This window comes from Homo sapiens, chromosome 11 (genome assembly GCF_000001405.40).
Source record: "Homo sapiens chromosome 11, GRCh38.p14 Primary Assembly".
Taxonomy (NCBI): Eukaryota; Metazoa; Chordata; class Mammalia; order Primates; family Hominidae; genus Homo; species Homo sapiens.
In genome coordinates this window covers 11,981,021-12,003,040 of record NC_000011.10, presented here as the reverse complement: position 1 = coordinate 12,003,040, position 22,020 = coordinate 11,981,021, and the positions used below count along the sequence as shown (strand labels likewise).

Sequence of the window (22,020 nt, the reverse complement as noted above, 5' to 3'; positions counted from 1 at the left end):
GAGGGAGACTACGTAGATTCTACATGCTTTAGAATTGTCTAGCGAAGGGAGAAGCTAGACTGTTTACCTCCATAGCCTGACTTTCATTGCTAGGATGTTAACTCCCTAGCACTTGGGGCCTCTGCAGACTGAGCATACTTTGGTGACCAGAGAATGCCCTTAGAGAGAGACAGAGTTGGTTGTTGGCATGTATGGGAACTGGATACAGGTGACCTCCAGATTAGGCCACCAGGAGATGGGCAGGGCATCAACAGCGTTTACACAGGGAGCAAGACTATCTAGTGGAAACATGTTCAAATCCCAGCTCCACCCTTTCCTGGGACTCTGGGGAATTTATCTAGTCTTCCTGAGCCTCAGTTTCCCTATTTGTAATATGAGGACATTAACACCCACCTCCCAGAGAGATTGTGAAATTTCAGTGCTGTAATATATGTAAAACGTTTAGTATAATATCTTATCATAGTGAGTACTCAATTAATAGCACCTATCATCATCATCATTCTTTGTAATTGCAGAAGAGGAAAAGAGATTTTTTTTTTCTAATAGACTCCCATTTGTAACAAGAGAAAATAATTTTGCTCATTAAATTCATCGATTTAATAGATGGAGGCAGAAGAAGCTGCTGCTAAAGCATCATCAGAAGTGAACCTGGCAAACTTACCTCCCAGCTATCACAATGAGACCAACACAGACACGAAGGTTGGAAATAATACCATCCATGTGCACCGAGAAATTCACAAGGTAAGTCATGGCCAGCACTTCCTCCTTTCTATAGCGTCCAGTCCCATCAGAGAACTAAGGTTTTTTTGTTTTTGTTTTTTCATATGTGATATACAAGCCCAAACTACAATTGAGAATCATAAAATACGGATTGAAAACCAGAAGGAGTAATGTTACTGTTGAAAGTGGAGAGACAATGTATCAGGATCCTAAACTGCTTTTGCATTTAAGCAATATATTTAACCCTAGGCTTCCTGCCAGTCCAGTTGCAAAGGAATGTCCAGGGATTATCATTTGAAAAAAAGAAAGCAAATGGATGTCTAAAAAGACCCTTTCCTAGCATTGAATTTGTGGAATTGATCTATCTCATAGGTTTTTATGTATGTCTCAGTAGGGATTGAACTAGAGACCACGTTATGGTGAATTGACCCTCACTTTTTTTTAGGAGGAATGTAAATATGATATACCCCATTTCCAAAAGAGAAACCCTCTATTGCTACAAAATTAAACATTCATTTGCTGGTTGTGCGTTCAAAATTCTCTGGCAGATTTTTCCCCAAACTACCACCTGTCTGAGTGCCTCTTGGTCTAACATCATGCATGAAGAACAACCAGGTTCATTCCCATTCTGACCTGATGAAGAAAGCTCTGCGAATCTCAAGGAACATAGCACTAGCTTGCCCCTGGTGTGCAATGTCTCTGACATGATTTGGCAGGACTCTGAGAGCAAACTGCCTAAGACTGTGTGCTGTGCAGATATTCAGGGTCGTTGTGAGCATCCCGTTGTGAATATCAAGGAGCCTGCCCCCTCAGCTCATCTCAACTCCTGTATGCAAGGGCACAGCGGCTTCACAAAAGAGCCTCACTTTTATTCAAGTGCGCAGGTAATTACTTGGTTGAAACAATAGTGTTTCTGTGCCACAGAGCACAGGGGATCAATTTTTATGTGCCGTTGCCTTGACTATAAAGTAGCTTTTGTGTGGCACTTCTCCCACTGCATCGTAATGGGCTCAGTTAGATGGATCAGCTACAGAGTGTATGAGCTCCAGGTAAATGAATGAGTTTACCAGCAGAACATAATCCTTTGGCATTGCTCATCTGCGACTGAAGAATGTTTTCAAAGTGATTATTTTATTCTTGTCAAAACCAATATCAAGTCACCCTTTCTGACAATAATTAACCAACAGGTTTGGTTGCTTCTTAAAGTTGCTTCTTGTAAATGTCAGAATACCTGAGTGTGAGTCCTACCAGTCACTAGTGTGATTTTTGAAAAATTACTTAAATGTCCTGATTCTCACTAACTGCATTTATGAAATAAGGATATCAACATCTACATTACAGTACTGTGCAGGTCAAATGACCTAAAGTATATGAAAGTTCATTGTAAACTGTAAAATGCAATGCAAAAACCACTGTTCTTATTATTACTGTTATTATAATAAAGTTATGTTATTAACACAGTGCAGTAGTTCTCAACTGGGCTTCATAGAACACCAATCTTCGGCCAGGCGTGATGGCTCAGGCCTGTAATCCCAGCACTTTGGGAGGCTAAGGTGGGAGGATCACTTGAGGTTAGGAGTTCGAGACCAGCCTGGCCAACATGGTGAAACCCCACTTCTAATAAAAATACAAAAAAAAAAAAATTAGCCTTAGCCAGGCATGGTGTCACGTGCCTGTAATCCCAGCGACTTGGGAAACTGAGGTAGGAGAATCACTTGAACCTGGAAGCAGAGGTTGCAGTGAGCTGAGATCATGCCACTGCATTCCAGCCTGGGTGACAGAGTGAGACTGTCAAAAAAAAGAAAAAAAAAAAAGGCCAGGCACGGTGGCTTATGCCTATATTCCCAGCACTTTGGGAGGCCAAGGCGGGCGGATCACCTGAGATCAGGAGCTCGAGACCAGCCTGGCCAACATGGCGAAACCCCGTCTCTACTAAAACTACAAAAATTAGCTGGGCATGGTGGCACGCACCTGTAGTCCCAGCTACTCAGGGAGGCTGAGGCAGGAGAATCACTTGAACCTGGGAGGCGGAGGTTGCAGTGAGCCGAGATCATCGCAACTGTACTCCAGCCTGGGCGACAGAGCAAGACTCTGTGTCAAAAGACAAACAAACAAACAAACAAACAAACAAACAAACAAAAAACACTAGTCTTATGCAATGCTTCATAGAAGAAAAGCTCAGTAGTAGTGAAACATATTTGGAAAACTTATATTCTTCTTCTGGAGATTTAAGAAAAATACAAATTGTTATAATAAAGGTTCTAATAAGTCATGCAACCCATACATACAGGCTTGTAGAATTTTTTAAAATATGACATTGGTTAATTCTATAAAAAGCTGGCATAAGGGAAGAGATCATTTCATTTGGGGAGAGGAATTATTTAGGTAAAAATGTAAAAGCATGATCCTTACCTTCTCAGAACTAGAATTTGATTCCCTTCTGCAAATTAGTACAAGAGTTTCCACTTTGTCCTGGCTGCAGATTCCTGTGATATTAGAGCTGGCAGAGACCTTAAAGATGATGTAGAAGTGAGAAAATTTTGAATCAGAGAAAATATATTATTTGTTCCAGGTGACATACTGGATGGTTACTGGTGACTGAGACAGAGCTCAAAGAACACACATCTCCTAGCTCCTGAGCCAGCATCTTTTCTTTTCTTTCTTTCTGTTTGTTTGTTTGTTTGTTTGTTTTTGAGATGGAGTCTCACTCTATCGCCCAGGCTGGAGTAGTGCAGTGGCACGATTTCGGCTCACTGCAACCTCTGCAGCCCAGGTTCAAGCAATTCTCCTGCCTCAGCCTCCCGAGTAGCTGGGATTATCGGCACTTGCCACTGCGGCTAAATTTTGTATTTTTAGTAGAGATGGGGTTTCATCATCTTGGCCAGGTGACCAAACATCTTTTCTGTCCTTCATCACCAAATCAGACATTAGACGTGACCTTTCATGGGGCAGGAAGAGCCTGGGTTCTATGTTAGACTTAGCTTTGAGATGCCTGCACCTGGTTACAGAATCAGAGGCAGACAACAGATACAGGAATATTGGAACAAGTCTCTCATTATACTTAAGCACTTTCTTGATGAAATGAAGCCATTCACTAGAATCAGGTAGGGCTGCTAGAGCTAAAACCTGCTTGCTTTTCATGAAAGATGTTCAACTAGACACCCGGACTTGTAATTTGTCAAGAATAAAGTTGACATTGAGTTTCAAGTGATGAGCCCCAAGAAAGATAGAAACAGCTGACATCTTTGAGCGTTTTGCTGGGTGTTGGGCACTGTGCGGAGTGATTTCTCCGGATCCCCTCATTTCCTCCTCATAGCAACCCTATGAGGCTGACTCTGTTAACATTTCTTATCACTGTGCCCAGGGGAAGCCGTCCATCTCACAGCTGCTGGGGGAACTCAGAAAGAAAGCGGGGTGGGCATTTCGACTCCTATACTGGATGCTCCTGCTTCAGAAAATGGAAAACAAAACACAAAAACAACTTGTGGAATTTGTCCAGAATTCCTTCTATTTTACTTTCATTGTACCTGTTTTACTGTAGATAACCAACAACCAGACTGGACAAATGGTCTTTTCAGAGACAGTTATCACATCTGTGGGAGACGAAGAAGGCAGAAGGAGCCACGTAAGTTGTCATTTCCCCTGTACTTGCACCCCGACACACTCACTTTCATTTTCATTCAGTTTGCCAACGGTGACTCAGATGCAGACCATGGGCAGGAGGGAGTGGAGTCTCCTGACTCATTTCTACCGAGATTCCTCAATTCCTACATTTCTGACCAGACAGATGTAGTCCAGTAATAGGTTACGCCTCCATGCACTTGGCATCAGAAACAACAGATAAATTAAATTGAGTGGTCATTTGCATGGCCCATCTCAGCTTTGAAAGGGGTACAAGCAAGTACCAGACATGTTGACTGGGACTTTGGTGACAGACCTGGTATATCAGGTGGTGAAATCCCCAGAGCCTCTGGGATGGCTACCCCTTTTGTAATCCCACCTCTGGTCAGGCAGTTTGAGAACAAGAACACCTTATGTGGAGCCCAATGGCCTAAAGGGAAAAAGGCTGTCCGTCCATTTCAGGGCTAGGCTCTGGTCCCCTGTGATTGCTTCTGTTAGTTGCCTGTTGCTTAGTCCAGAGGCAGAATGGATTTCACAGAATTATAGAGTCATAAATTTGGAAGGGGTGTGATTTCACAGAAAGAAAACCTGGGCACAGGTCGGGGGATGACCTGGTTGGAGTCACTGGTCTCCTAACTCCCAGACCAGAGGTGGCTCAACTGCACTTCATCTTCCCAAAGATGTGCTGGCTTCGGATGCACACGCCTGCTGAGGAGTGGCCAGTAGGGAAAGTGTGCCTTTTTTATGAAGACCGCAGGAAGCCAGCCCCCCTGTATCCAGATGGCTTCTGCATCCTCAGCCTTCCCAGGGCACTGAGGATTTTCCCCACGTCTTTTGGTCTGATGGCTGGAAGGGAACCAGTGTATGGATGACAGTTAGGAAGGTGGTGTTGTCTTGGTTAGTAGCTGATGGATTTTTTCCCTTGTTTTTGGCACAGTGCTCAAATGTCGGGAGCTGGCCGACTTTTACAGCAGGCTGGGGGTCCAGTTGGCTGTGTGCAATGGTAGTGACCCACCATTCAAGGGAGCCTGGGGGTGGGGGGAGGAACTGTGCAGTGAAGTGGAAAGGGCACTGGCTGTGGAGTCTAGAAGCCCCACTTTGTCACCTACCAGCTAGGGCACCTCAGTTTCCCCATCTTCAAGTGAGGTAACAATGTCCATCATCTCTCCCAGCCCTGGCAGCACAGAAGCCTCTGAAACGAAGACAAGGTTAACTAAGGCAGGGATGGAAGAGAGGCCAGCTTCCAAAGGTGGGAAGAGACAGAAGAAAGCGAAACAAAAACCAGCCAGCCATAGGATATGATCATGGTCCTAGAGGGAAGTGGTTTAGAGTGTTCCAGATCTCAGGCTGTGTTTGGGGTTTGATGAAGGATTGAGGCCTGAGCAGAGTTGTAGAATGAAAAGGGCAGGGGAAGCAGAACTCACAGGGTTGTGAATTAGGAAAAAAGCCTTTGTTCTCAAGTCAAAAAAAAAACTTAATCTATCATTGCACAGTGGTACAGCCGTGCTCTGGGGAGGGCAGCAGCCGTGCCTGTGAGCACATCTGCACCTGCTGGAGGACCAGGATACATGAGGCTGCCACATGTGCATCCCATGCTGCCCCCTCCACCCTTTCAACGAGGCAGCTGTGTCCAGTTGGTGCCTTTTAGTCAGGGGAATTGAGACTCTGAGAGTGGGATGGGGAAGAGACAAGATCTTGAACATGCCAACGGCATGCTTGGGCAGAAACTGGTTGCCTGCACTTTTGTGCTGTGCGTCACTTTTCCCAAGCATGCATGGCCTTGTGTGCCCCTGTGTACTCTTCTTCAGATCTCATCTGGGAGGCCCAGAATCTCCACACCTGCCCATGCAGTCTCCTGTGGCCATTGTGTGATGGAGGACACACCTTGGCCCCCTTGTGCAGGGCAGAATCCGAACCCCCATATATGACAGTCCTGAGAATGCAGGTGGTTGAGGGGAGCGGTAGATCTAAGTACCCCACGTGCTGGAGGCTTGCCAAGGTTGTCTTGATGCCTGCTCAGACCCTCAGGATATGAGCATATTGGGTTTCTATATTAGACTAAATTCCCGTTTGATTAACTAGAAGGGAGACCGGGGGCATCTGATGCTTGACTGGCCAGTGTCTGGACGATCCCACAGGGCTTTGGAGAACAGATTGGAGACTTTTCAAGCCACCTGTGAGAGGGATGTCATATGGCAGAGAATGTGGCATGTGTGCCTCACTACAGAGCTGCACTCATTGTCGCAGTGGCTTGCCCAGAGTCAGGGAAGTGAGATCTAGTTTCCCATGTCCACAGAATTCTTTCATTCAACCACCTTCCTATTCCTGGGCACAGTTGACCTAGGGCTTCAGCATCGTCTTTACAGAGACACGGAGCTCTTTTTCTGAATAGAAAGCGATAAAGACTAGTTTACTATCAAGGGAATGCAGGGGACTGTGCTTTGTCACCACTGTCTCATTCTATCATTTTGCAATTTAATGATTTTTACGGTTGGCTCTGAAATGCATTACACACTGCAGAAACTTTCTCTCAGAGGGAAGAGGGAGATTTGCCATGGCAAAGGACAAATCATATGCTGTGTAAACCTTAAAATACTATACACAGGAGCTAAATTTTCAGGCTTTAAAATTTCCAGATGAATTCAATTAAAAGTAATCACCACACACCCTATACTTTCCTTTCTTCAAATGCTGGAATGTGTATTAATATGTATGGTAACCCAAGGAGGCTCACAGAAAGTTACAGAGAGTAACACTATATGCCTGTCTAGAAATTGCACGCAGTATGTGCAAGGCCCTGGTCTGTTTTTACACTCAAATGTGAAAGGGGAAAAGGACACCGCAGCATGTTATTGCACCTGAGCACATCGGCTGATGGGGATGTGGTCTGACGTCTTTGTTGTGAGGCTTTTGTGCTGCACTTGCCGCCTGCCCCACTTCACAGGTCAGTGGCAGACGCACTGATGCTGTGCTGCTTTTGTGCTGGGGGTGAGGAGGAAAGCAGCATGTAGAAGCTAGAGCATGGGCAAGCCATTGTGCATTAATAGGACACTTTTATTTATGGAACTGTGTCCCCACATAGGAAGAGTCTGGCCCAATTAGCCAAGGCACCCTTTTGATGGCACACATCCTCTTTAAAATCCAACTCGCAGCTACAAGGCTTAGCATGTCCTGCATGTGTTGTCTTTCCGGTTTCACATTAGAATTTGATGTTAAAAAGTGAGCTGGTTTGTATCTAGGTGAACACACCTAGTTTGAAGCTGTAAGTTCAATCATGTACAAGCAACTCCAAGATACTGGCCAAGACTTCTGGAAGGCTGGGTACAGTGGCCCACACCTGTAGTCCCAGCACTTTGGAGGGCTGAGGTGGGAGGATCACTTGAAGACAGGAGTTCAAGACCAACCGGGGTAAGAAATTGAGACCCCTCTACAAAAAATAAAAAATAAAAAAAATTAGCCGGGCCTGGTGGCACATGCCTGTGGTTCCAGCCACTCAGGAGGCTGAGGCAGGAGGATCGCTTGAGCCCAGGCGGTCGAGGCTGCAGTGAGCTATGATTGCATCACTGCACTCCAGCCTGGGTGACAGGAATACCCTGTCTCTAGAAACAAACAAACAACAGACTTCTGAGGCCACAGGTGGATGGATTTTCCTGCCAAAAGCACCCAGCTTGTAGAGATTTGAGTGACCCAGTGACTTCCTTGTTCCAGTGCTGGTGGTGGCTTTTTGACTGGGACAGCAGACTGAGGACAGTGATCATGGAGTTCCCGACAAGTGTGAGACCGCATGTTGTGAGGATACTTTGCCTGTTAAATGTATTGGAGCCTGGGGAGAATGGGGTGTTAAGCCGTGACCGTCTTTTCCCATGGAGCAGTGAGCACCCATCACCTCCAAGCCCAGAGAGACCAAGCGAGAAAGTGGGAGAGGAAAGTGTATCGAACAAGCGCTTTCTCCCTCAGGTCTCAAGTTCTTCCCTGACCCCAACTTGTTCATACACTCTCGAGTGGGGTGCTGGCTTTGTTTTCTCCCTGCGCCCTGGTTTTTGATGCTGGACTCAATCCATTTAATGGAGTGTCAGAAGGTAACATGATGAGGAATCGCTGGGGGCTTATGATTTTAACAGAAGTGCACCAGGGGAGGGTGCGGCACCTCTAGAGGGACTCAATCAGTTCCCAGAGGATCTGCCTCCTGGGGAGACCTGCAAGGTCCAGGGAGGCTAGGGTGGTGGCTGAGTCCCAGGAAATGCAGCCCTTCCCTTCTGTCCATTTTGAGGCAGAATGAAGAAGTTTGAAGAAGGTGAGATGCAGACCTCGGTTCGAGCCCTGCATTGCCTTTTACAAGCTCTGCCCTTTGTGACTCGGTTTCTTCAGCTATCAAATGGGGCTAATAATCCCCCTTTCACAAGACTGAGTGAGAATCTAGTGTGGCAAGGTTTATAAAGGCTCTTTGTGTGAGGTTCATTATTACTGAAGAGTAATTAAAACTGGGTTCTAATTTGCTGGTTCCCAGCAACTTTACAGAAAAAAGAATGGCATGAGACTGGGGGGAGATGCGAAAGGTCTCCACAGGCACAGGCGTCTTTCCTCTGACATTTGTAGCCTCGGGCTGCTTTCATTCTGCAGCAGCCTGCCTCGCTCTCTGAGTGATGTGCTCTGCCAGGAGCTCTGTGTTCCTGGCCACAAGGCTGACTCATCCCGCTGTTGTTCCTAACCGTGCCTGTCCTATATGTCTAGGTTGAGGATTGGGGATACAGACAAAGGGAAGGATAGGTCAAAATGAACGACCAGGGGACTAGGCGATGGTTGGGTACTGATAAGTTCCAAGTTGGGGCCCCAAGTTGGCAAGGGGTGATACTGGTTTCTGCAGAAAGAAACAGACTTATTGTCCTAAGGTTGATAGCAAAGGCTTGTGTGAATGTTCAGTTCCATAGTCTGACAACCACACAGAGTTTGGGTACATTTGTGTTTCGAGATTTATATTTTGCGTTGACTTCGTGATTTATGTCTAAATATAAGGCCCACTTGCATTATTCAGTAGGAAAAGATATATAAGAAAAATTGAAGAGCTCTGTATCATTCTGAGAAATGGGTAAATAATTCCCAAATAAATAAAGTTGATGTGGGTGAGCAATTTTTATGGGGTAGGCATTTCTTTTTGTGCTGCTACCTGGTATATTAAGTTGTACTCTCCTCAACCTCAATATCTTCCAAGAAAGAATTCATTAAATAGAAGCGATTCCACATCTAAAATCAAAATACTTTGGAGTTAATACTGTGGAGATGGTATAAAAGGTTGTCTTCAATCAAACATTAAGTGAAAAAAAATTGCAGAACAGTATATATAATATTTAAAGTATATAAAATATACATATATGGTATATGAAATCTCTTAGTTTTAGAAAAAAGTATGCATAAAAAATCCTGGTAAGACATATATTAAATCATTAGTAGATCTTTCCAGAGGATTTTAAGCTTGCAGAGACCCTTTATAGATTTCTTTATTTTCAAAAGAGTTTGTGAATTTACAATTTTGGTCTAAACATCTCTATATTTTTGAATGGTTTTGCAAATACTTTCAGTGTAAATGCTAGAAATTAAATTGCTAAGTCAAAGGGTATGCATATCTAAAATTTTGAGAGATACTGACAAATTTTCCTCTAGGAAGGCTACACCCATTTTATTTTTAGCATCAACTTCTGAGGCTGTGTTTCACCAGCCCTCACCTACAGTGGGTGTTAACAGTGCGTGATCATATGATAGGCAAAGAAAAAAGATATCTTCGTTTTGTTTATATTTCTTTGATTATTAGATCAAAGAAATATAAAGATCATTTGCATTGCTATAAAGGAGTACACAAGCCTGGGTAATTTACAAAGAAAAGAGGTTTATTTGGCTTACAGTTCTGCAGGCTATACGAGCATGGCACCTTGTTTATATTTCTTTGATTATTAGATCAAAGAAATATAAACAAGGGGGATGGCTGTTTGAGAACTGTAAATTTTATCAAATGTAGAGTCTGCAAATTTATCTTATCCCTTCTTTTCTTTGTCAGGGAGAAAGGTCAGTTTTGCATTCCAGGCCATGCCCAAGAGCAAATACCAAGAGCAAATACCATCTATTCCAGTGTGAGGTGATTAGGGAGGTGGGAAGTCCTAGCAGGAACATTTGAGTGCTCAATGTCTATGTGAGGCGGCTGATGGGCTGAGTCACAGAGGGTGGGTGGTGGGGACATGCAGGCTACTGCCTCCACCCCTGCGAATACAGACAAGGTTTAGATGACTGCTGATAGAAGCAGCACTTCAGAGGGGGTGGTTAACAGCTCGGGCACAGGCAGATCCAGTTCAAATGGCAATTCTATTGCTTATTAGCTGTGTGCCTTTGGTTAAGTTCCTGAACTGCTCTAAGCCTTAGTTTTCCCATATGTAAAATGGGCTTAATAACAGTACCTTCCATATAGTATTGTCATGAAGATAAAATAAAATAACCCAGGTCAAAATATTATACAATACCTGGAACATAAAGAGTAAGAAGTCAGTAAATAGCAGGCATTTGTTATGATTTGATTATTTTGGTAGCCCAATCCTTGGCTATCAAAATTATCAGTATTAATTCATTCATTTATTTGCACATTCCTTGAGTACCTGCTACGTTTTTGGCAGAGAAGTGTAAAAGACAGTCTCTAACATCGGAGAAGCATCCAGGCTATAGTGGACAAAAAAAATAAACAAGTCATTACAATATGGATGCATAATTTTGAAAGGCAAAGGTTGCACAGGGCATTGTGGGGGCATGGTGCAGGGGAAAACCAGGTAGCCATGGAAGACTTGCTTGGGAGACAGTTCTCTACGGGTCTCTGTTTCTGCTCATTTTATAAGCAAAGGCACTTCTCAGTCCATTTGCATTGCTATAAAGTAGTACACAAGCCTGGGTAATTTACAAAGAAAGGTTTATTTGGCTTGCCGTTCTGCGGGCTGTACGAGCATGGCACCAGTGTCTGCACCTGGTGACGGCTTCGGAAAGCCCTCACTCATGGCAGAAGATGAAGGTGCACAGGCATCACATTGTGAGAGGAAGTGAGGGGAGGGAGGAGAGAGACAGAGAGAGAGAGAGGAGAGGTGCCAGGCTTTTTTCTGTTTTTTTGTTTTTGTAGAGACAGTGTCTCACTATATTGCCCAAGCTGGTTTTGAACTCCTGGCCCCAGGAGATCCTCCCACCTCGGCCTCCCAAAGTGCTGGGACTATAGGCATGAGCCACTATGTCCAGCCTCTTTTTAACAATCAGAACACATGGGAACTAATAGAGCGAGAACAGCAGCAAGCCACTCATAAGGGATCTGCCCCCATGACCCAGCTACCTTCTGCTAGGTCCCACCTCCAACACTAGAGATCAAATTTCAACATGAGATTTAAAGAGGACAAATATCCAAACTATATCTGACACTAATTGATCTCTTGTTCCAGGCCATCTTTTCTAGGCGGTGGCCTTGAAAAACAGAGCTAGCTCTCCCTCCTTGGCAGAGGGCAGGTTTGCTTGCAGTCCATTATCAAAGGTTTGGGTTCTCTGAGCTTGAGATCCCTTAGGTGTGATGTAAACCCAATGCATGTGCAGCATCCGTCTGGACCCCTCCATGGGGCAGTGTGGAACCTGCAGGCAAGGAGAACTGATACAGACAAGAGGCTTATGCTGTTTCCGTGTTGCTGAAATAAAGTCCTTTGTCTCTGACCCAGAAGTCTCATGTCTTCTGCTAGCAGCCATGAAACCGTGGCAGGAACATGTATCATCTTGCAAGTAGAATAGAATCTTAGACCCTTCACACTTCTTGACAGGCTCCCTGGAAGAGGTGGCAGTTGAGCTGTATTTTGAATGTTGTCTAGGAATTCTCAGTTGTGGGGAAAAAGGGTATTCGTTGAACAAGTATTTCTTGTTCAAAGTCAAGGAGGCATGTGGAAATAAGAATATGTTGGAGGAACGCTAAACAATTTAGAATGCCAGAGCTGGAGATGTGCGTGGGGGAGCAGCAAGTAAAGCTGGGGGAGAGGCAGGGATGAGATCAGGCAGGCCTTTGAGAGCCATGCCAAGGAGTTAGGAATACATGCTGAGTTAGGAACATATCCTGCATCTGCAGTGCTTTACCATGTCCTGTACTGTATACTGTAATGAGACTTCATGCAATCCCTAGAGGAAAGAGCCAGGAAGATGTGGTTTGGAAGACAGACATTCGTGGCGATGGAGCTTTGCTTAATCCTGCTGAAGCTGAAGGCTTGAGCCCCTTTGGGCTGCAAAGCCTGTACCCTGCAAAAAGCCTGGCTTCTGGCCTTGAAATCTGGAAACCGTTACTTAGAAATGGAGCACTTTGCTTTTGCTTGGTGCCAGTAGACAGGACAGATAAGTGACAGTAATTGAACTTGAACTCTCATTAGGTTGATGGTGTCGGCTGCAGAACAAGCTGATTTCTGTGGTCTCTGAGTAGCCTGGGCATGTCAGGGGCCCAACAGCTCCTCCATGCAGGTGTGTGGCTGTCCACTGCTCTCAGGACCTGGGGATTCTTCCAGACAAGCCTGGATAACTTTCACCATAGGGTCTTTGTATCCTGGCTGCCAAATTTGTGGCCCTGTCCTTCTTTACCTGTTGGCATCATTCCAAAAAACTCATTGAGTCCATTTTGTTTTGTTTTTAAAATAACATCAAGGGCTACAACATGTCCCAGTATTCCCTTATTTAGTCAGGCGCTGTGCCAGGCATCTGACTTGCATTCCTTCACACGATCCACATGACAATGATACAAGGCAGACACCCAGTTGACCCCATTTTACAGATGAAGTAACTGAGGCTCAGAGAAAATTATAAAACAGAACTTGTAGGTGGCTGAGCCAGTACTAAAAAAGAGAAATAAAATGAAGCACTTAGGTCTTGTGGATTCCAAAACTTCCAAGACTCATGTTCTTAATGCAACATACAAAAAATTGTGATAAAATGTATATAATATAAAATATCATCTTAACAATGTTGACACATATAATTCAGCAGGGTTAATTATACTGGAGAAAAGAATTCTCCAGAATTCTTCTCATCTTGCAAATCAGAGATGCTATACCCATTAAACAATGCCCCCCTCCTGCAATCCCCTGGCAACCTCCATTCTTCTTTCTGTCTGTATGATTCTGACCACTCAAGGTACCTCATATGAGTGGAATCATACTGTATTTGTATTTTTGTGACTGGTGAATTTCTCTTAGTGTAATGTCCTCAGGGTTCATCCATGCTGTAGCAGGTATCAGAGTCTCATTCCTTTTTAAGGCTGAATGATAATACATGGTTTGTGTATATACATAGATATATTCATATATTCATACCATGTTTTGTTTCTCCATTCATTTGTCAATGCACCCTTGGGTTGCTTCCACCTTTTGGCTATTGTGAATAATGCTGCTATGAACACAGGTATGCAAATATCTCTTTGATATTCTTTCATATCAAATGCTTTCACTTCTTTTGGATATATACCCAGAAGTGGAATTGCTAGATCATAAGGTCATTCTATTTTTAATGTTCTGAGGAAACACCATACTGTTTTCCATAGTGGCTGCGCCATTTTGCATTCCCACCAGCAGGGCACAAGGTAGAAGTTTTTTTTTCAACCTTTCAGTCTTCATGACTGTAGGCACTAGAGGACATAAGTGCCCAATGTAAGCTGAAGGACTGTCTCAAAATTCCTGGCCCCTGCTGTCCTTGGATAAGGCAGTGCGTTCCCCAACTCTGTTTCCAGCGGTTGCCTCTGCAGTGTGGCAGCCATAGTCTCAGGGAGTGTTTTTAAAGCTTAACTGATGCCACTGACCTGAGTTTCTCACCCCTCACCCTGGTCTGTAGCCAACATGCTGAAAACTTTCCCTAGGCCTGGGCGTATGCAGGCTCAGGCTGCATCGTGGAGATTGTGGGGATCCAGAGATGTGATTTCCTTGACCATTCAGGAATTAACACCCACTCCACACCCTCCTTTATGAGCCCCACCCTTACCCCTCCATGGTGTCCTCAAAGACTCCCCAGAGGCATGAGGGGCCTCCCACTTCCCTGTAAAGGGGCTCCAGACTCCCAAGAGGTCCTATGGGGGACTCAGGCCTCCAAGGAGGTTTTGTGGTGATGATGGTTGTTTATCAATTCCCACCTGTGGTAGCGAGGGCTTCCCGGGAGGTAGGCCAGGGGACAGTGCCAACAGAGGCCCCAGTCACACCGTCTCCTCTTCCAGGGTCAGAGCCCGGAGCAGTGGAAGGGAAGTGGGTCAGGATGGGAAGCGGGGAATGCAGAAGGACATGTTTAATGCTCCCAGGGAATTCACAGTCATGCCCCCGAATCTAATAAATGAGCTGGTCTCTCCAATCAGGCAGGAAACCTCTACTCTTGGTCACATCCCCAGCAGACTATGGGAAAAATGATGGATGGAGATTGAGTCATCTAAATGTTTGTTCAGATCTCATTGCTCTGTCTACTGTCAGTTTCATTTTTCACCTCCACCTCCTGGAAGAGAAAGAATAAACAAGATATTTGGGTACGTTTTAGGGGAGCATAGTGGTAGAATTTGGAATCCAAACTGCTGCAAGTTGAAATCCCTGCTTCTGGGGAAACTTCCCTCATGGCTCTGAGCATTGGTTGCTGCTCTGTGAAAAGAGGATTTAATGACTGCCCGAGGAGGGTATTTTACAAGTAGGAGGCCATGTCTGGAGAATGGTGTTTAATAGATGCTGAATAAGTGTAAATTCTCCTTTCTGACCTAATTTCCTGGACCCCTTGTGGCAGGAAGCAGTAGTTTACTGAATTTGAGTGTGATGAATCAGTAAATATGTTTATTTTGTTGTAAGGTTGCTGTTGCTTTGAAAGAGTAACTGAGAAGGCTTCTGAAAGATGATGGTGGCTAAGGTGCTAGACCAAACAGATGAAAAAGCTATTTGTGTAAAGACAGGCCTCATGCCAAAGATAAAGTAAAACAGTATATCACTGAGTCACACAATTATAAATGGTAGAATTCACAGGGTCCCCTGAACTCCTCTGAACCAGGAAGGAACACATGTGGCCCATCCACTGCCATACCCCACCTCCGGGCACATGGCAGACATTACTAATCAATTGCAGAGTTGTTTCCTTATGAGCCCAGATAGCCTCAGCACTTGAGGCAGCACAGCACTTCCAAGCAGCAACTGACAGTTGGGAAAGGACTATCCTTGAAACCTGTGTTCCACCCCTGCTTCAGACCAAACCTCCTGTTTTACAGATGAGAAATCAGAGATGGGAGGGATGTAGTTTTCTCCAAATCATGCAGCCATCAGATCTGGAAACTTATTTCCAGTTCAGTTCAGTTTTTAGTGCATGGTGGACATGGAATTTCCTTTTTCAGGAAGCAGGGTCTTGGTGCCCTTGTTTTTATCATATCTCAAAAAATTAATAATTGAGAGGATGGGCCACCTAATGCTGAGAAAGATGGTGAAGACCAGCTGGGAAAGGGTGTTCTCAGGCCCAGGGAAAAAATTTAGAAGTTCATAAAGGATTGTCTGAAGACTGAACTCTGGGGAGGCAGGGATTTCACCTGTTGTGTGCCACCTCCGTATCCCTGTGTCTGTGCTGGACATGGATAGGGGTTGAGTAGTTGAATACATACTTAGTAGATGAAAGCTGTGTGACCTAGTTGCAAATTGGGGAATAGAAACGGAAGTAAAATTCCTTGAAGGTAAGATTCTGTAAAGAGCTGTAAGTATGTAAATGAGTCTGATTTGTTTAAAAAATGAACCTCTGTTTTTCTTGCCTTTGTTCATTCATCTACATTGTTGGACACCTACTGTTTGCTGGGCTGTATACCCAGTGTTTTACGTGTTTTCTAATTCTTAAAACACTATGAAGTAGATATAATATTATTTTATAGATGAGGGCACTGGAGTTTAAAGAAGTTAAATTCCGCAAGTCATGGCAGACGGTAAAATGGTAGAACTGGAATATGAACCCAGTTGTAAATTTTGGCCATTTCAATTAAAAGATATATTTCTGATAAAGTCATGGTGGTTTGCAGCCATAATGTTGAGTTGTTTTGATCCCCAGCCTTCCATTCCCGGGTTACAGCTTGTGTCATTAACATCAAGAGTCATTGAGCCCCTCCCCCTTCCAAAGGCCTCAGATGGAAAACCAACATCACAAAAGGACAACTGTATGGTTTTCCTCTCCCAGGGATGGCAGAGCTCCTTGGGCTCAGGGGAGAAGATATCAGTGGAAGATGGTTAGGAAACTGTGGAATCTCACACCTACTTTCTTTTGTTCTCACCACTGATGGGGTGTCAGACTTGCTGCTGCTGAAAAGGAACATTCTAAACCAGTAGAGGGGCATTTTAAGTGGGTGGCATGCTCCCGTGTCTGAAGAGGTTGGCCATTGACACATTTCAGTGATGCGATGTGGAAAATACAGCCACAGGGAAAACAGCCTGAATTTTCCATAGTCTCATAATTCAGGGCCTCCCAGAAAGGAGGCAGGAACAAAAGAGTAGTGGCTAGGATAGAAAAACACCCTGGCTTGAAGATGGCGGAGGGGCCTGCCCTCCAGGCCAGGGGTACCCGGGTGGCTGGGGTGGGCAGAGGCCAGCAGATTCCATCCTTCTCATGCCTGGCAAGCAGAACTTAGGCTCAGCCCCACGAGCAGGAGATTCCTAGTAGCCTTTGCTTTTTCCATTGTTTCCAGGGTCCTCCCTTTTTGATTAAATCTATGGGGACCTCCTTCCCCAGAAAGAACATACATCCTGTAGCAGAAAGTTCAAATCAAAGGCCAGAAGTCATACTCAGTGCTTGCCTTGTGCAGAGCTGCTCTCCTCTCCCCGCATCCCCATGGTTTTGCTGGGATTTGGAAGGTGAGAGGAAGGAAAGAGAACAAATATTCATTAAGCACATACACAGATGCTGTGTGACCATTTCATATGAGCTACTTTCCTTCACTCTTACCAAACCCACCTACAACACAGTGTACTAGCCCTGAGTTAAAGATAAGGAGTGAAAAGCTCAGAGTGACTTGCCAAGGTCACCCAGCTAGTCAGTGGCAGAGTTGGGATTTACAATTATTTCCAAATAAGTCTGTCTTACTCCAAAGCCTAGACTCCTTCTAGTGCACTGAACACTGCCTTGCAAAATGATCAGATGGTGGGAAGGTCACTAATAGTAATGGAATGTCTGGTACATGCCATGAAATGTGGTCATACTTATCACCCTTAATCTTTCTGACAACATAACTGGTTAGGTTTTATCATGCCCATTTTACAGATGAGGAAACTGCAACCCAATGAAGTTAAATGACTTACCCAGGCTTGCCCAGCAAGAACTGAGGAAGAGAGCTTGGGGAGCTCACTGTCGGGGGAGCGGGTCATTTTAGAGCCTTTTGTCTGAGTCTTGGCTTGGAGAGCCGGGGCAACCCTGGTGGTGTGGCCGGGCTCCTTGGTGCTGGAGCACAAAGGAATCTCCTAGCCCCAGCCGGAAGCACCAAGACCATTATGAGGATGGGCGGCTCCAGGGTTTCTGGGGCAGGAAACTTGGGTGTGCCCAGACCACCTTCCCTAGACCATCTGCACATGGCCTCCTCCTTGGAGCTGGAGTTCCACGTTTCTTGCCATCCCACAAAAGTGAAGCAAAATTTGACGTGGCCTCTTGTGAGCAAAATGAGGTCAAAGCATATGTTTTTCCACCACTGAAACATTAAAGTTTTTCCCAGGCTCATTAGCATAAACGATTCAACTTGAAAAGTTAAAAAATTCTGGGAGACCCCTTTCCGTCCTCACTGTGGAAGAACTTTGTGGGTAGTGTTGGGGGCAAAAGAAAGAATAATTCCTCAGGGCAGGGAAGAGACTGGAAGGCAGGAGATTGGACGCTCCTTAGAGGCTCAGCAGGGAATCCCAGGCGCCGTCCCCCACCCAGCAGCCCTGCCAGGGGGCTGGGGAAGTGACTTTTTTTCTGCCCAGGGGAAAACAAACTGGTTTCTGTTTTGTTCTGCTTTAGATTTTCTTCACTTTTTCTTTTTTTTTTTTTTTTTAAAGGAAATTGAGCAAATTCTTTGAATTGAATTTATAAAGAGGGCAATGGATTAGGGACACTGAAGCAGTGGTTGTTCAGCTTGGGCATACAGCAGAATTATTTTCTTAATCTGGATACAACTCATGGGAAAAGTAATGCGTTTTTATTTTCACTTACTTTTAAATTAAATTGAGCACTTCCTTTAATCTGAAATGTGGACAACAAACCACAATATTTGCAGTACTTCGTACCAATAGCAATCACAAATATTTTTATTTTCTCTTACTGTTGTTATACATATCTTAAAATAGCATTTATGCTCAGCACTTAGAGATGAAGAGAGTTGTCAGAGTTGCCGATAGGTCTTGCTATCCAGTGTGTTCATAAGAAGCCCATAAAATACTGTCTCTCAAAATATTTTGATAACTCGACTTCAACACAACCATTTTTCTTTGTAATCCTGTATGTTTACCTTTATTCATCTAACTCTGTTATACTGAGAACAGGAGAACAGGCTTCATCTAGGTGTTAAAGGGGTCCCTAGTACAAAAAAAGTTAAGACCCCTTATTTTAAAAAGGCCAGTGTCCACACTGGGACCTCCTAGTCACTCCTCGTCACAGAGACAGACATGGCCTAGTGGGCAGCAGGGAGGCTGTAGAAGGATCTGTCTGTTGCCTTCATTGGAGTGACATCCCCACCATTGTAGATAAGACTTAACCTTGAGGTTCCTCGAATCATGCCAGCTTCCCCATTCAGGTGGTTTGAATCCTAAAGACTATGAAGAGCCATTTTGAAGAAACTGAAGGTTGAGAAGATTCTGATTACCAGCATTGTTGTATAGGCATTGGGTCGGGGGTTGGTCTGGAAAATGCTGGGCCTGGGCTCTGTCTCAGATGTAGGAGTGCCCAGCTCATCCTGGGGCATCTCCCAGATGGACCATTTGACAGCAGCGTAGCCCAGATAGGGGCCTGCACTGACTCCTGCTGCCCACAACTGCAGCCAAGGCTGATCTTCGGTGGAGAAGGCCTCTGTCCTGTGGCTGCAGCTTGGCAGCCTGAACTGCTGCGTGAAGCATCCTCTGACTCCCTTCTCCCTCTGCAGCCTGTCTTACCCATGGCATAGCTGGAGGATGCAGACATGACATCCAGTGGAGACTTGTGATATGTCAGGAGGGATTACAGGTCACAGCCCCTGGAACCTTGTTCTTCTTGAGAGATTTCACCTGCCCCACCGAAGGCTCCAGCCCTAAGCCTTTGGGATGGACAGAGAAAATACAAAATATGATGCAGTTTTTGTCACCTCCCAGTTCTCTCAAGTCCATGTGCCTAGGGACTGTGTCTCAGAAGCACTGTCTCCTGAGGAACCAGCTCTTGCATAGGTGCTATCTCCAAGTGCTGAGAGTGTGGAGGGACTTGGCACATTTATTACTTTCTTCCCAAGGCAAAGGAAAACCAAATTTAAGAGACTGAGCTAGGCCAAGTCAGCTCACTGACTCATCTAAAAAGGGCAAACAAGAAACCAATTGAGTCAATCTGGAGAAACTCTATCCATCCCCAAGGACGGGGTAGTGTCCTGAATGTGATCAAAATGAGGCTGGGCAGTGAGGACACTATCAGAGCCTGCTTGGCTTTTTGTAATTACTGAAAAACAGAAGCATGCGCTTCCACCCTGTCCCTGAATCCTGCCCAATTCCTAGCCCTCATCCCCTGCATCATTCCTTCCCTTGCATGAATGAAGGAATAGCACAACCAATCCCGTGAACAGTCCTAGGCTTATCTGGGTGCAGGTAAATCATGAGATTCACTCTAAACTTAATCCCATTAATTGCCGTGTTTGAGAGAAAGGGGATTTCATTAGGGCCTCCAGAGGAGTTTTCTGAGGGAAGAGATACAAGCTCTGGCCACCCCAGGAGGCCCTGTATGGACCCTGCTCACCATGGTTGTGGCGGGACATCGTCCTCACTTGTGGCCCGAGGACTGGCTGTGCTCTCCCTGGCCCATGGAAGCGGGAAGGCCCAGAACTCTGTGGCCACGGCCGGGCGCTGCTACCCTCCACGGCTGAACACTATTAGCCTGGGGCAGATGTCAGCTCTGAGAGGTCCGCCAATTCTGGTGTGTCCCAAAAAGTGGCTGAGACTGGAGACTAGGAGATGCAGGATATGGATGAAGCATGAGCCAGAGTGCTATTTGCACCCTGAAGCCAGAAAAGGAGGAAAAGATGATGGAGATTTGTGGAGGTAGCTGAGTGTCTGGAGAGGCTGGGGTAGAGCAGGTACCACCCTTCAGACAGCGCCACGGGGAAGCTGGTGGGACATGTTTCTGCCAACTTGCCAACTCCTAGGAGACCTGACGTGTCACCCAGACCCTTTACCCAGCAGGGCCTGTCATCTCCCCTAGGAGGGCTTGTTATGATTCCCCAGACCTCTCTCCTCCAGTGTTTCTTTCAGGAGGACTGTCCCCACGCCCCTGACACATGGTGATTAGGGAGCCCCCGTGACTCCGACTACCCTGGAGCGCCCACAGCACTCCCCAGAGGCAGCTCCAGATGTCTGCTGTTCATTGCCCAGAACGCTTATTTTTTAAAAGAGGCCCTCACCATGGACTTCCAGCATCACCGGGGGCAATGCTGGGAATGGGGGTGGTGCTTTCCTCAGAGACCAACCAGGACCATGGGGAGCACCTGCAGCAGCTGATCCAGAGACCAGGACATCCACAAGGACAGATATCTTATGAAAAGTCCTCAGGTTCATAGGAATGCTAACTCTGCTGGGGGTGGGGGAGCTGCCTAGCCATGGATGATAATATAAACCTGTTTGGCCTGGAGAGCAACCAAGAAGGCCCAGGGGTCCTAGCCAAGGCCAGGCAGGGTCAAAGTAGAGATGGAAAAGTTGCTGACATCAGTCATGGGGCTATAAAGTGGAGGCATAGAGAGAAGGCTAAGGCAGAGGGATATGAGACAGGCCTTTTTTCTCTAGACGGCTGTGTGTGATTGCTGAGGGCACAAACCCCACCATGATTATGCTTCTGGTTAGCCTTGCTGCAGGGGAGCAGCCCCACCCCCAGCCCCGTAAGCATTGGTGATACCTGCCAAGCTCTGAGATCATCACCTTCAAAGTGCCCAGCAGGAAGGCTGGCAAGGCAGAGGGTGAGTTTGGATGCACCGTGTTCTGGGCATCTGTTACCCAAACTTAGCAGTATAAAACAACCGTTTATTATGTTCCTGGATTCTGTGGGTTAGGAACTTGGACAGGTACCATGGGGATGGTTTGTCTCTGCTCCGTAATGCCTGAGACCTCTGACTTGAAGCCAGGGTACTCAATGACCAGCGCTGGAGCCATCTAGAGGCTCTTTTCACCCAAGCTCCTGGCTGTTGCCTGGAACCCTAGGCAGTGCTGTTGGCCTCCCCATGTAGCCTGGACTTCCTCACAATATGGTGGCTTGGTTCAAAGGGCAGGCACCTGACAAGGGAAAGAGCCAAATGGAAGCTATGTTGCCTCTTAGAACCCAGCTGTGAAGTTATGCAGCATTACTTCCTCCACAGTTAGTTCATTAGAAGTGAGTCATTAGAGCCAAGTGCTCTGCTAGGATGAGGACGGTATGATTGAGGGCTGGGCATGCTGCCTTCCAGCCCCCTGCTATTTTCTGTTTCTGGAA

The 22,020-nt window shown here is 45.6% G+C and overlaps 1 protein-coding gene across 8 annotated transcripts in view; it reads left to right on the top strand.

The window, feature by feature from the left end:
- The window catches only part of DKK3 (dickkopf Wnt signaling pathway inhibitor 3), a 46,710-nt gene that overhangs the window by 6,705 nt on the left and 17,985 nt on the right, over positions 1-22,020 (top strand). For all 8 annotated transcript variants that reach the window (XM_047426775.1, XM_047426774.1, NM_013253.5 and 5 more), the window contains 2 exons: positions 604-741; positions 4,262-4,345. In XM_047426775.1, the coding sequence (XP_047282731.1) occupies positions 604-741; positions 4,262-4,345 (222 nt within the window). The remainder of the gene's footprint in view (positions 1-603; positions 742-4,261; positions 4,346-22,020) is intronic.